Source organism: Homo sapiens, chromosome 19 (genome assembly GCF_000001405.40).
Source record: "Homo sapiens chromosome 19, GRCh38.p14 Primary Assembly".
In the NCBI taxonomy this organism is placed as follows: Eukaryota; Metazoa; Chordata; class Mammalia; order Primates; family Hominidae; genus Homo; species Homo sapiens.
In genome coordinates this window covers 10968017-10983259 of record NC_000019.10, presented here as the reverse complement: position 1 = coordinate 10983259, position 15243 = coordinate 10968017, and the positions used below count along the sequence as shown (strand labels likewise).

At 50.0% G+C, this 15243-nt stretch overlaps 1 protein-coding gene across 22 annotated transcripts in view, besides 2 other annotated features; it reads right to left on the bottom strand.

Annotated features, from left to right (window-relative positions):
• Positions 1 to 15243, bottom strand: part of SMARCA4 (SWI/SNF related BAF chromatin remodeling complex subunit ATPase 4) — a 101244-nt gene that overhangs the window by 79014 nt on the left and 6987 nt on the right. For 5 of the 22 annotated variants that reach the window (XM_011528198.2, NM_001128844.3, XM_047439249.1 and 2 more), the window contains exon 2: positions 2408 to 2483. The exons of the other annotated variants lie outside the window; for them this stretch is intronic. The gene's annotated coding sequence lies outside the window, so the exon portion shown is untranslated. The remainder of the gene's footprint in view (positions 1 to 2407; positions 2484 to 15243) is intronic. 22 annotated transcript variants of the gene reach the window in all.
• Positions 5422 to 6114: an enhancer, noted in NCBI's record as "H3K4me1 hESC enhancer chr19:11087822-11088514 (GRCh37/hg19 assembly coordinates)". NCBI's record gives its function as "activates a minimal SCP1, AML or CMV promoter by ChIP-STARR-seq in primed H9 embryonic stem cells {active_cell/tissue: H9 hESC(primed)}" and the evidence as "EXISTENCE:reporter gene assay evidence [ECO:0000049][PMID:30033119]".
• Positions 9922 to 9971: an enhancer, noted in NCBI's record as "active region_14001". NCBI's record gives its function as "activates an Ori minimal core promoter by ATAC-STARR-seq in GM12878 lymphoblastoid cells {active_cell/tissue: GM12878}" and the evidence as "EXISTENCE:reporter gene assay evidence [ECO:0000049][PMID:35858748]".

The window sequence follows — 15243 nt, the reverse complement described above, 5'->3', positions numbered from 1 at the left end:
AACGTCACCTTTTCCTTTAGATGCTAATATGCATAAGGGGATGTCCTCCAACCACCCAGAGACAAATGGGAAAGGAAAGATACTTGTGTCTGTAAAGAGGCTTCTCCGCCTCGCTGGCTGAAGGCCCTCGCTGGCTGAAGACGCACCCACACTCAGTGAAATTTCTCAATACATTCTAGGCTTTCATATAATCTTACCCATGGCAATTCTTATCATTTAATAGTCTTTAAAACACAAATTCTAAAAGCTACACTGCATTTCCTGGCTCTGACACCCTGGGTTTTTTGATAGCCCCTCTCTGGTTAAGCATGTCGCAAATCTGTCTTGTTTCTGCTGCCTTTTGGAATGAATCTCTTTGCCCCTGAACTCTCCGGCATATTTCTGGTTCTAAGGATAAATTCTGTAAGAAGTGTAGAAACATTTTTAATTCTCTTGATTTAAAAAGTTCCATTTTTTGGCCAGGCGCGGTGGCTCACGCCTGTAATCCCAGCACTTTGGGAGGCCAAGGCGGGCAGATCACGAGGTCAGGAGATCGAGACCATCCTGGGTAACATGGTGAAACCCTGTCTCTACTAAAAATACAAAAAAAAAGCTTAGCCGGGCATGGTGGCAGGCACCTGTAGTCCCAGCTACTGGGGAGGCTGAGCCAGGAGAATGGTGTGAACCCAGGAGGCGGCGCTTGCAGTGAGCCGAGATCGTGCCACCGCACTCCAGCCTGGGCGACAGAGCAAGACTCCGTCTCAAAAAAAAAAAAAAAGTTCTATTTTTGTTTTATTTATGTTTTTGAGACGAAGTTTCACTCTTGTTGCCCAGGCTGGAGTGCAATGGCGTGATCTTGGCTTACGGCAACCTCCGCCTCCCAGGTTCAAGCAATTCTCCTGCCTCAGCCTCCTGAGTAGTTGGGATTACAAGCACACACCACCATGCCCAGCTAATTTTTGTATTTTTAATAGAGACAGGCTTTCACCATGTTATTCAGGCTGGTCTTGAACTCCTGACCTCGTGATCCCAACCGCCTCGACCTCCCAAAGTGCTGGGATTACAGGTGTGAACCACCACGCCAGGCCAATTTTTTTATTTTTAGTAGAGACGGGGTTTCACCACATTGGCCAGGCTGGTCTCGAACGTCTGACCTTCAGGTGATCCACCCGCCTTGGCCTCCCGAAGTGCTGGGATTACAGGTGTGAGCCACCGTTCCTGGCCAAAAATTACATTGTATTAGGTGATCTAGCGGAAAAAGTTTTAATTTGAAAGGTAGGGGTTTTTGTTTTGTATACAGAGTCTTACTCTATCACCCAAGCTGGAGTGCAGTGGAGCCATCATAGCCCACTGCAGCCTTGACCTCGGGGGCTCAAGCCGTCCTCCTGCCTCAGCCTCCCGAGTAGCTGGGACCATAGGAGTGCATCACCATGCCTGGCTAATTTTTCTTAATTTTTTTGTAGAGACAGGGGTCTCTCTATGTTGCCCAGGCTGGTCTCAAACACTTGTTGATCCTGGCTCAAGGGATCCTCCAGCCTGGACTTCCCAAAGTGCTGGAATTACAGGTGTGAGACACTGCACCCAGCCATAGGGATATATTCTTAGACAAGAGATGAAAGGCTCAAAATGACCTCATTCCACTTTCATGGCTAACAGCAGGAGAGAGGACCAGGAAACTCAGCAGGGGAGGAACCAGTGGCTGGCACTCCAGCCAATCCTGAAAAGATGGCCCCTGACATAAACAAACCTAAATGTGTTACTGCAAGGAAATTCATCTGGAGGCAAAATCTGACCTGATTCTGCTCCGTGTGGATATTCGCACATTCTGCTACAGAAACAGGATCTGTCTGATTATGAGATGCCGCCCTGGCCTCTGCCATGTGACAACAGTCTGAACCTTGCGTTTATGTTACTAAGATGCTGATTTTGGAGCCTGAAGCCTCTGGTCCATGGGTATGTCTGCAGGGAGGATGCGCCTGCAGCTACCTCCATAGGTGGGAAGCCCAGCAACGTGGGCACGGCCAGGGCAGGGGGAGGCACTGGCTCCTTGGCGCTCCCCTCTGGGCCTTCTGTCCCCACAGTCTTCTCAGGTCCACAGAGTGTTGCAATGAGGTAGGAAAAGGGACAGCAGGACTGCCACATACTTCATAGATCCTGTGATATTCAGGGACCTATAGCTTCTTCCTCACTTGAAGGTCTTTATTCTAAGTCAAATAAACTGAAACTGACAGCAAAATACAATCCAGCACGCCTGTAATCCCAGCACTTTGGGAGGCCAAGGCAGGGGGATGGCCTGAACCCAGAAATTCAAGATCAGCCTGGGCAACATGGCAAAACCTCATCTCTACAAAAAATACAAAAATTAGCCATGCTTGGTGACACATGCCTGTAGCCCCAGCTACTTGGGAGGCTGAGGTGGGAGGGTTACCTGAGTCCAGGAGGTTGAGGCTGCAGTGAACCATGACCGCACCACTGCACTCTAGCCTGGGCAAAAGGGCGAGACGCTGTCTCAGAGGAAAAAGAGAAAAAGATCCAGGTCATTGAGGGCAAACCATCTTTTCCCTCTCTGAAGGTGGACAAGCCAACGAGCATACACTGGGAAGTGACTGAAATTATAGCTCTCCTCATTGTACATTTTTTTTTTTTTGAGACAGAGTCTCACTCTGTCGCCCAGGCTGGAGTGCAGTGACATGATCTCTGCTCACTGCAACCTCCGTCCCCGGGGTTCAAGCGATTCTCATGCCTCAGCCTCCCGAGTAGCTGGGACTACAGGCGTATGCCACCTAATCGTACTTTACACTGAGCATTAGAACTTCTCCCCTCTCCCTTCCATCAAATCATGCGATGCCGTCACAGCCTCCAGGAACGGCTCCAACTCAAAGCAGCGCTAACTTTGTCAACGGAAAAACAGAGTACACTGAAGATGCTGCCCCAAAAAACCATTTTGTGCCCGAATAAGGCAAGTCTGCTTTTTAGAAGCACGGGGTTTCACAGAGGCTTGTTAGAATGGCCTCTCCTCCTGAAAATGCTGCCTCTAGAGTCAGGCTGCAGTGAAACAGGAACGCGGGTGCCACCAGCATCCGCAAATTCATTTCCGGATTGAAAGCTCAGACACGTGCAGAGTGACAGTAAAGGGGATCCCAACAGCCCGGGAGTGATGCAAAGCCATCCCCAGCAGTATCGCCCAGTGCCAAAGCCTGTGATGAGGTTGCTGGTGCCTGCACTTGAACAAGCACTGGCCGACTTGCAGCACAAAGTGGAGAGCCGTGGAGCGACTCCACGTCCTCAGCTCAGTACTGAGGGGAGCAGCGTGTGATTCTGCTTACTCTCACTGACTTGTACATGCCCTGATCGCAGGATCATAGGTGAACAGCTTGAAGAACACTGCGTCAGACATCCCTCCTGACGTTCCAGAAGGCATTCTTGGGCCCCCCCAGTCAATACCACTCTCCCAGGGAAACCACTATTTTGACTATCACTGTGGCTTCCTTTCACCTGTTATTGAACTTCCAATAAAATGACGGGTGTGGTGGGTCACGTCTATAATACATATATTATATAATATACAATATATACTTATAACATATAATATATGTAACATATAAATAATATAATGTTGGGGGCAGTGGGTCATACCTATAATCCCAGCACTTTGGGAGGCCAAGGCAGAAGGATCGCTTGAGTCCAGGAATTCAAGACCAGCCTAGGCAACATAGCAAGACCCTGTCTCTACAAGTTTTTTTTTTTAAATTAGCTTATACTCAGGAGGCTGAGTAGGGAGAACTGTTTGAGCCCAGGAGGTCAAGGCTGCAGTGAGCCATGATCGTGGGCAACAGAGAAAGACCCTGTCTCAAAAAAAAAAAAAAAAGACAATCACACAGGGTCACCATGTCTGGGAGAGTCATCCGTTCTTTTTATGTGAGCATTCTCATTTTCATAGACATTGTACTCTACCAGGTTCTGGCCAGCACAAATCAAGCTGCTATGAGAGTCATTTGGTGAACACATGCATTGGTTCTTCTTGGGTGTCCAAGAATGAAACTGGTGGTTATAAAGGGAGGCATAAACTTAGCTTTGCTAGTTTTCCAAAATAGTTGTATCATCTACACACACGGTCCCACCTCCCACACAGGGACAGCATTCCAGGTGCTCTTCATCAACCCCAACACTTGCTGCTGTCAGTCCTTACAACTTTTAACAATGTTGCCAATGTCCAATCGCATCTTCTTATGGTCTTCATTTGCATGTCCCTCACAACTAATGGCACGGAGCACCTTTCTGTATGCTTACTGGCTATTGAGATATCTATCTATCTATTTATTTATTTATTTAGAGACAGAGTCTTGCTCCATCACCCAAGCTGGAGTGCAGTGGCGTGATCTCGGCTCACTGCAACCTCCGCCTCCTAGGTTCAAGCGATTATCGTGCCTCAGCTTCCCGAGTAGCTGGGATTACAGGCACGCACCACTATACCTGGCTAAAATATATATATATATATATTTTTTGTATTTTTAGTAGAGACGGGGTTTCGCCATGTTGGCCAGGCTGGTCTTGAACTCCTGATCCACCTGCATCAGCCTCCAGAAGTGCTGGGATTACAGGCACGAGCCACCACATATGTGGCCGGTATCCACTTTTAAAAAGTAGAAAGTATCGGCCGGGCGTGATGGCTCATACCTGTAATCCCAGCACTTTGGGAGGCCGAGGCAAGCAGAGGTCAGGAGTTCGAGACCAGCCTGACCAAAATGGTAAAACCCGTCTCTACTAAAAATACAAAAATTAGCCAGGCGTGGTGGGTGCATGCCTATAATCCCAGCTACTTAGGAGGCTGAGGCAGGAGAATCACTTGAACCCGGTAGGTGGAAGTTGCAGTGAAGCCGAGATTACATCATTGCACTCCAGCCTGGGCAATAAGAGTAAACCTCCATCTCAACAAACAGAAAAAAAGAGAGAGAAGCTCTTAATTCTAATGAAGGCCAGTTCATCAAGTTTGGTCTTTGAGGTTTAACATTTCTGGGGTCCTATTTAAGAAATCCTCGTCTACCGTAAGGTCATGCTGACAGAGGAAGGGAAGGGATATTTGCAAATCCAGCGGGGACTGTGGCTTGCCTTCACCTCCCTGTGATTTACAACTGCTGAGGATGTCTCAGTCACAAAGAAATGGCAAGGAAGGAAGATCTAGCCAGGAGGTAGGGGCCTCAGCCTACTTGATGGTAACAACTGAGACTCCCCGCACTGGGCCCTCACCACCACACAGGGACTACAGTGGTCCTGCTGGCCAGCTGACAGATGACAGGGAAGTGGAAGAGTTCAGGTCACAAGGCCAAGGCCACAGTGGAACTCACTGCCATGCATCCCACACTCTGAACATGGACTGTGAAGCCACGGTGCCACCTGCCTCACGGGTAACCTCCCTGTGGCTCCACCTCCTCCTCCACAGGCTGGAACATCGAACCATCACTCACAGGCAGGAAGTGCCAGCCGCTCAGCTGGTGAAACCAAGGTGCCCCATCTCTCCCCAGGTTTACTGAGCAGCTGCTTAGCACGTGAAAGGTATCGCACTAGGAGCATCACACAGATGAGGTCCTCAGATGCTCCCATCAAAATGTGAAGCAGAGGCTCCTTTCCCTGAACAGAAATGAGAAAACTGAGTCATGGGCTGGGCATGGTGGCCCATGCCTGTAATCCCAGCACTTTGGGAGGCCGAGGCGGGCGGGTCACTTGAGGTGAGAAGTTCAACACCAGCCTGGCCGACTTGGTGAAACCCCGTATCTACTTAAAAAACAAAAAGTAGCTGGGTATGGTGGTGCATGCCTGTAATGCCAGCTACTCGGGAGGCTGGGGCAGGAGAATTGATTGAACCCGAGAGGCAGAGGCTGCAGTGAGCCGAGATCACACCACTGCACTCCAGCCTGGGCAACAGAGCAAGAGTTCATCTCAAAAAAAACAAAAACAAAACAAAAAAAAACTCGAGTCCGTAACGCAGCCTCCCCCCAGCACAAACCGCAGGTAACACTCCTGCCCCGCAATGCTCAGGAACAACAGACTGGCTTCCCCTCTTGGGCGCGCATCAGGTAGAAGCAGCTGGCTGGAGAGCAGCAAACCCCTAGGTGCGATCCAGGACCTGCTGTCAGCCATGACACGCCCACCCTGGCAAGCAATGCACACAGATTTGGCCGGCTGCCAAGAATTTTGTTCTTGTTATTTGTTTATTTATTTGTTTTGGAGACAGAGTCTCGCTCTGTCACCCAGGCTTAGCGCAGTGGTGCGACCTTGGCTCACTGCAACCTCCGCCTCCTAGGTTCAAGCGATTCTCCTGCCTCAGCCTCCCGAGTAGCTGGGACTACAGGCGCACACTGCCGAACCTGGCTAATTTTTTTGTATTTTAGTAGAGACAGGGTTTTTGCCATGTTGCCCAGGCTGGTCTCAAACTCCTGAGCTCAGGCAATCCGCCTGCCTCGGCCTCCCAAAGTGCTAGGATTACAGATGAGAGGCACCACGCCCGGCCCAATTTTTTTTTTTTTTTTGAGACAGGGTCTCGCTCTGTCTCCCAGGCTGGAATGCAGTGGCGCCATCACAGCTCACAGCCTTGAACTTCTGGGCTCAAGTGATCCTCCCATCTCAACTTCCCGAGTAGCTGGGACTACAGGCTCATGCCACTATGCCCAGCTAATTTTTGTATTTCTTTATAGAAATGAGGTCTCGCCGTGTTGCCCAGGCTGGTCTCAAACACCTGGGCTCAAGTGATCCGCCCACCTCAACCTCCGAAAGTGCTAGGACTACAGGCATGAGCCACCGCACCTAGCCCAAGCCACAGTGCCTGACCCACAAACATCTCTTATCCCTCCTTGCTCCCACAGCCATAAGCATGGTGTTGTTCTCAGCCCTCAACCTCCTCCTGGCCAGCTCACCCTCCCTGAAGGGCTGGGGTGAGGCCAGCCCTGTAGAAGCTGGATGGGGTGTGGGGCTGGGTGCACCTTGCTCCGGCGAGATGTCTACACGGGAAGGCCAAACGAGCACGGCCAGGAAAGGTGTCTAAGGACAAGGAACACCTCTCTCTCTACCCCTTCTTACCCCATCGCCAATCATCCCTGCCCTTCTATACAGGAAACGAAGGATTTGGCATTTTCAGCAAAGTCCTGGGGTGGCCAAAGGTCGTCCCTAAGGTGTCTTACACGGTGCCGCTTAGAGTCCTGCAATGGGGCCCTCAATGATAAGTCACTAGCAGGGGAAATTCACGCAGCAATGAAATCCATTGCAGACCAGGAGGCCACACCTACTCAGGTGGAAAAAGCAAAGGATGAGGGGATTCAGGGGCCAAAAGGGCAAGAATAGTTAGTACAGCGTGTGGAAGCCAAATCCAGATGTGTGCGGCCCTTGGATCGGGTGCTGCCGGGGCCTCCACAAGGAGAAAACAGAGCCTGGGAATCCAGGCCAGCAGCCAGAAGGAATGACCGGAAGTGAAACTACTCTGGCACAAGAATCTAAAAGCTAAGATGTAAAACACTCAGTTAAAAGTCCAGGAGGTTAACCCTTTCCCTGGGCCAAAGGGTCTAGAAGTGGTGTGGCCATATTGCCTCAATTTCTTGAGAAGCTCCTCAATTGCCCAGCAATCAGAACCCCCACACAACCCACGCTGCAGAAGTCTTGGCACATCAAAAAAGAATTGAGAGGCTGGGCGTGGTGGCTCACGCCTACAATTCCAGCACTTTGCGAGGCCAAGGTGGGCGGATCACAAGGTCAGGAGTTTGAGACCACCCTGGCCAACATGGTGAAACCCTATCTCTACTAAAATACAAAAATTAGCTGGGCGTGGTGGAGCTGGCCTGTAGTCCCAGCTATTCGGGAAGCTGAGGCAAGAGAATCGCTTGAACCCGGGAGGTGGAGGTTGCAGTGAGCCAAGATCGCGCCACTGCACTCCAGCCTGGCAACAGAGAAACACTCAAAAAAAAAAAAAAAAAAGTAAGGTTGGATATGGTGTTAATGCCTATAATCCCAGCACTTTGGAGGCCAAGGAAGGCAGATCACCTGAGGCCAAGAGTTCGGGACCAGCCTGGCCAACATAGCAGAATCCCATCTCTAGTAAAAATACAAAAGTCAGCCAGGGGTAATGGTGCATGCCTGTAGTCCCAGCTACTCAGGAGGCTGAGGCACGATAATCACTTGAACCAGGAAACGGAGGTTGCAGTGAGCCAAGATCACGCCACTGCACTCCATCCTGAGCGACAGAGACCCTGTCTCAAAAAAAAAAAAAAAAAAAAAAGAATAACTATATATGCATATGGCTGGGCATGGTGTCTCACAGCTGTAATCCCAGCACTGTCGGAAGCTGAGGCGAGCGGATCACCTGAGATCGAGACCAGCCTGGCAAACGTGGTGAAACCCCATCTCTACAAAAACACAAAAGTTAGCTAGGCGTGGTGGTGGGCACCTGTAATCACAGCTACTTGGGAGGCAGAGGCAGGAGAATCACTTGAACCCAGCAGCCAGAGGTTGCGGTGAGCCAAGATCGCACCACAGCTCTCTAGCCCAGGCAATAGAGCAAGACTCTGTCTCAAAAAAAAAAAAAAAAAAAAAAAAAAAAAAAAAAATATATATATATATATATATATATGCATGTTAATCCATGCATAGAAATTACCCCAAAGAAAACATGCACAAACCGCTGTCAGCACAGCCAGTAGCTCTCTCTGATGGCATGTGATGAGGAACTTACCCTTTCCATATCACAGATGTCTGGCGCTTTTTATTTATTTTTTACAATAGCCATCTATTACTTTTTATATTCAGATTTTTAAAGAAAAACTTCCAAGAAAAAAAAAAAAAGCCTAAATCAGAATACCCATGAAATAAATACCCACAAGAAATGCCCAGGAAGTGTCTTTGTGGAAATAAAAGAGAAAGATCAAAGGATGTGAGAACTACCATGTTCTCATTATTTTCAACTTCATCAAAATTATCATCTAAAATAGAAACATCTGTTGACGTTCAAATGTGGAAGGAGACTGCTTGAGGAAGAGAAGAGGTCTGGTCTCTTCTTTCACGCCACCCCTAGCTTTTGTCTTAAAGCACTGCGGTGACCAGCCCCAGGCAGGGCAGGTTGCTAACCAGCAATCGGATCCCTTGGAAATCTGTTTGTTGGAATTATGGTGGTTGTTTTCACCTTGCATGAGAAACTAGCATTATATTTAAGTTTGGTCCCAGGATATCTGCTATTGTGTTTTTTGGGGCTTGGGGAAATTTGTTCACGGACACATTTCAGCAGCAGACCAACGTGGGAGTCAGGTTATGGCAGAGGCTTGGGCGGAACAACAGCAATGGGCAGGATGGCTTCCGCAGAGCCAGCCCCGTTTACTATGCGTGAACTACAAAACAAAATGTTCCCCTCGGTGGTCTATAAGAAAACCTCCAGGCCGGGCGCGGTGGCTCACGCCTGTAATCCCAGCACTTTGGGAGGCCAAGGCGGGTGGATCACGAGGGTCAGGAGATCGAGACCATCCTGGCTAACACGGTGAAACCCCGTCTCTACTAAAAATACAAAAAATTAGCCGGGCGTGGTGGCAGGCGCCTGTAGTCCCAGCTACTCGGGAGGCTGAGGCAGGAGAATGGTGTGAACCCGGGAGGCGGAGCTTGCAGTGAGCCAAGATCATGCCACTGCACTCCAGCCTGGGTGACAGAGCAAGACTCTGTCTCAAAAAAAAAAAAAAAAAAAATTAGCTGGGCGTGGTGGCGGGGGCCTGTAGTCCCAGCTACTCGGGAGGCTAAGGCAGGAGAATGGTGTAAACCTGGTAGGCGGAGCTTGCAGTGAGCCAAGATTGCATCACTGCACTCTAGCCTGGGTGACAGCGAGACTCCGTCTCAAAAAAAAAAAAAGAAAACCGCTTAAGAGCACCTACCCAAGGGACCTAAAAGCATCCAGGACGGTTCTCTGCCTTAGGGGAGTGTCCTCTAACCCCACAGGGACGTGTGGTGTCTACACTGCAAGCCTGCAAATGCTATCCTAGCTATCAATTAGATGGATGTTTTTCAAGCTCTTCTGATCATGTCTCCATGTGACAATGTGACCCAGCAGAAACATAACACGCAGAGTAACCGCATCAAGTGTCACAAATCCATCCTGACCCACGCTCCCTGTGGAACATCAATAACCCCATTCTTTTTTTTTTTTTTTGTAGATGGACTCTGGCTCTGTCACCCAGGCTGGAGTGCAGTGGCACAATCTCAGCTCACCGCAACCTCGGCCTCCCGGGTTCAAGCAATTCTCCTGCCCCGGCCTCCCAAGTAGCTGGAACTACAGGCGCACACCGCCATGCCCAGCTAATTTTCGTATTTTTTGTAGAGATGGGGTTTCACTATGTTGGCCAGGCTAGTCTCAAACTCCTGAGCCGATGATCCGTCCACTTTGGCCTCCCAAAGTGCTGGGATTACAGGCGTGAGCCACTGTGCCCGGCCCCTATTCTTTCTTTTCGGCTGGCCGAGGCCCACTGGATGGATGTCCTGCGCCACCACCGGGTCTGCTGTGTTATCAGCTATATACGCAACACTGAGCGTGAGGAGTGACACTGTGTGGAGACGGCAAGAGGAGTCCCCACAACAGAGGCATGCAAAGGCCAAGAGTGGGCAGGGAGATGCAGAATCCATACCTGCCCAGTGTCACTCGTGACAGGCCTTCCCCACCGCCACAGCAGAGGACTTACTGATGACTACCCCCAAATACGAACAGCGCTGAATGCACCAAGCTGGTTCCAAACACCAGGCATCTGGCAGAGAACAACACAATTCCTACCTGGAGGAGTGGACAGCAGAGTGACAGAAATAGCCAAACATGACACAATGTCACATAGAAAGTGGAAGTGTTATATTAAAAAAAAAAAAAAGTATTCAGGGCCGGACGTGGTGGCTCATGCCTGTAATCCCAACACTTTGGGAGGCCGAGGCAGGTGGATCACCTGAGGTCAGGGGTTCGAGACCAGCCTGACCAACATGGTGAAACCCCATCTCTACTAATAATAAAAAAATTAGGACCAGGCTTGGTGGCTCATGCCTGTAATTCCAACACTTTGGGAGGCCAAGACGAGTGGATAACTTGAGGTCAGGAGTTTGAGACCAGCCTGGCCAACATGGTTAAAACTCATCTCTACTAAAAATACAAAAATTAGCCGGCATGGTGGCAGGCGCCCGTAATCCCAGCTACTCGGTGTGGGGGCTGGGACAGGAGAATCGCTTGAACCCAGGAGGCGGAGGTTGCAGTGAGCTGAGACTGTGCCACTGCACTCAAGCCTGGGTGACAGAGCGAGACTCCGTCTCAAAAAAAAAAAAAAAAAATTAGCCAAGCGTGGTGGTGCACGCCTGTAATCCCAGCTACTCAGGAGGCTGAGGCAGGAAAATTGAAATCGCTTGAACCCGGGAGGCGGAGGTTGGAGTGAGCCAAGATCGCACCATTGCACTCCAGCCTGGGCGACAAGAACAAAACTCCATCTCCCCCCTCCAAAAAAAAAAAAAAAAAGTATTCAGGGTGGGCATGGTGGCTCACGCCTGTAATTCCAGCACTTTGGGAGGTTGAGGCAGGTCGATCACTTGAGGCCAGGAATTTGAGGCCAGCCTGGGCAACACGGTGAAACCTCGTCTCTACGAAAAATACAAAAATTAGCTGGCATGCGGCTGTAGTCCCAGCTACTTGGGAAGCCAAGGTGGGAGGGTCCAGACTGCCATGAGCTATGATTGCACCACTGTACTCCCCGCTGGGTGACAGACCAAGACCTTGTCTCAAAGAGAAAAAAAAAAAAAAAAGACACAATGTCACATAGAGGGTGGAAGTGCTATAAATCTAATCAAGCAGGGTTCGCAGGGTTAACAGATGAGAAGCACTCCTTCTATGGTAGCCTGGGACACCTCAGTGATGAAGATGTCTGAGCAGAGATCTGTAGTGACATGGGCACCATGTGGTTATTTATCTACCACAGAGGAACAGCAAGTGCAAAGGCCCTGGACTGTGCTTGGCATATTCCAAGGCACAGCAAGTCAGCCAGTGTGGCTGGAGCAGGGAAGGTGGGAAAACACACTCTGTTTCTTTTTTTTTTCTTTGAGATGAAGTTTCACTCTTGTTGCCCAGGCTAGAGTGCAATGGTGCGATCTCAGCTCACTGCAACCTCTGCCTCCTGGGTTCAAGTGATTCTCCTGCCTCAGCCTCTCAAGTAGCTGGGATTACAGGCACGCGCCACCACGCCCAGCTAATTTTGTATTTTTAGTAGACTAGGTTTCTCCATGTTGGTCAGGATGGTCTCAAACTCCCGACCTCAGGTGATCCACCCGCCTCAGCCTCCCAAAATGCTGGGATTACAGGCGTGAGCCACCGTGCCTGGCCCACACTCCGTTTCTCTACACTCTCACACAGCACTTTTGACACCAACTCAGAGAAAACCAGTTTTCTTCTACTATACTCTCATAACCGAGAACAATTCTGTGACCAGATGCGTGGGTCTTTTCCAAGTAATTCTCCAAGTCTCCAAACACCAGCTGGGTGTCCTACAATTTAACTCAATTCAGACTCTATCTCCCACAAGTTAAGGACTTTATCGGCCAGATGCAGTGGGCTCACCTAAGCACAGTGCTTTGGGAGGCCAAAGTGGGAGGACTGCTTGAGGCCAAGAGTTTGAAACCAGCCTAGGAAGTATAGCACCCTGTCTCTACAAAAAATTTAAAAATTAGCTAAGCCTGGCAGTGGTGCACACCTGTAGTCCCAGCTACTCGGGAGCATGACATGAGCCCAGGAGCTGGACACTGCAGTGAGCTATGACTGTATCACTGCACTCCAGCCTGGGTGAGAGTGACACTCTGTCTCTAAAAGAAAAAGAGCTGTCCCATAAGACTGCTCCCACTACAAATGCCATTTGCACATCCCAGGGTCCAGTACTTCTGCCCAGCCACCTATAAATTGGGAATTCCCACAACCCCCTCCTCGATTTGATTGATTTGCTAAAGCAGCGCCCAGAACTAAGGCAGGCACTTCACTTCCCATTAATGGTTTATTATAACGGATACGACTCGGGGTCAACCAGATGGAAGCAATACAGACAGCTTCAATGGCCCCTCCGTACATGCCACCCTCTAAGCACTTGGTCTTTCTGGTAACCAGCCCCATCCTGGGCTATCTAGGAGCCCCATCCTAAATCACCTCATAAGCATAAACTCAGCTGTGATCAAAAGGGGCTCATTATGAATTTTAAAAGACACACCTATCACTCCTATGACATGTGGCGCAAAGACCAAATATATTCCATATCATACCTCAGAGGGCAAGTGGGTGCGGCCACAGGTGGGGCATAGGGGAGAAGTCACAGGCCTTGAGGGCCACAGTAAAGGGGTTCCAGGAGCATCCAGTGCAGTGGGGAGCTGCTAGAATGTTCCAGGCACGGGAGTGGCACGGTCTGATAATGACTTTAATTTCTCTGGACATGCTGATGGAATGGATGTGCAAGTGAGGGCAAGAGATGAGGCAAGGGTGAACACCAGGGTCTCGGCTGGGACGTGCTGTTAGAAACATAAAAAGGGGGCCAGGTGCAGTGGCTCATGCCTGTAATCCCAGCACTTCGGGAGGCTGAGGCAGGTGGATCACCTGAGGTCAGGAGTTTGAGACCAGCCTGACCAACACGGAGAAACCCCGTCTCTACTAAAAATACAAAATTAGCCAGGTGTGGTGGTGCATGCCTGTAATCCCAGCTACTCGGGAGGCTGAGGCAGGAGAATCGCTTGAACCCAGGAGGCGGAGGTTTCAGTGAGCCGAGACCCCGCCATTGCACTCCAGCCTGGGCAACAAGAGACAAACTCTGTCTCAAAAAAAGAAAAAAAAAAGAAAGAAATATAAAAAGGCGCCAGGCGTGGTGGCTCACGCCCATAATCCCAGCACTTTGGGAGGCTGAAGTAGGCAGATCCTTTGAGCCAAGGGGTTCAAGACCAGCCTGGGAGATAACATCAAGACCTCCACTTCTAAGAAAGTAAAACCTAAAACATAAATTTTTAAATAAACATAACAAGGCCCCCCTTCCTCGAGGCTGACCAAGCCCTAGAGCAAGGCTTGGCAAAGACAGGCAGGGCCGGGGTTCAGCCCCTGGTTCTTGAGGTAGAGGGTGGAGGCCAGGGAGATTCTGAGAGGAAAACGGAATTCTGAGTTCAAAGAGGTTAAGCCATGCAGAACAGAATCCCGCCTCAAGTCTCTTTGACTCCAGGGCCTGAGTAACTGATTCAGGCCGAGGATCAAAAGGAATAGGATGAGAACCTTGAAGGTCGAGGAAGGGCAGAGTCAAGAGGAAGGGCAAGTAAAGAGCCACTCCCACAGGCACCCAGGAGATGCCTCCAGGAGGCAGGCAAGGCCTTCAGGTGCCCAGCCAGTCCAGGCTGTGCCAGAATCACATTTGATCATCACAGGGGCAGTTTCAGCTCCCTGGGCACAATGAGACATCCACTATGCCCCTTTACTGGGACTTTCGGAGCAAGATGGGTCGCACACAGCAGACCCTCCCCCTCAAGTCTCCCACTGGAACAGGTGAGCAGCAACTGTCACATCAGCCACCTGCTTCCTGAGCCACTGGGGCGTGACTTGCCAGTGGCAAAGAGAAAACTTAAAAAACTCCCAAGAGCTAGCACAGTGGATCACGCCTGTAATCACAGCTAGTCAGGAAGTGGAGGCTGGAGGATCACTTGAGTCCAGGAGTTAAAGACCAGCCTAAGTAACACAGCGAGTCTCCGTCTCTAAAAAAATAAAAAGTGGAAAGAAAAAAAAAACACCTCCTCAAAGAACCATTTTAAAGTCGATCACTATTAAAAACGGGGCCCGTGCTACTCTATCACACTCACAGCTGGCTGCACACAGAGCAAAACGGTTCACAGTGACAAGTGTCCACATACATAAATGAAGCTATGCCCCTTTAGGGAGGTAACAGAGTCCCCAAAAGCAAAGCTCTGGAAACCAGTCTGGGACTTAAAAAAACATTTGAGGCCAGGAGTGGTGGCTCATGCCTGTAATCTCAGCAGTTTGGAAGGCCAAGGCAGGCGGATCACCTGAGGTCAGAAGTTTGAGACCAGCCTGACCAACACGGAGAAACCCCGTCTCTACTAAAAATACAAAATTACTGGCCGGGCGCAGTGGCTCACGCCTGTAATCCCAGCACTTTGGGAGGCTGAGGCGGGCGGATCATGAGGTCAGGAGATCAAGACCATCCTGGCTAACATGGTGAAACCCCCGCAGGGCATGGTGGTGGGCGCCTG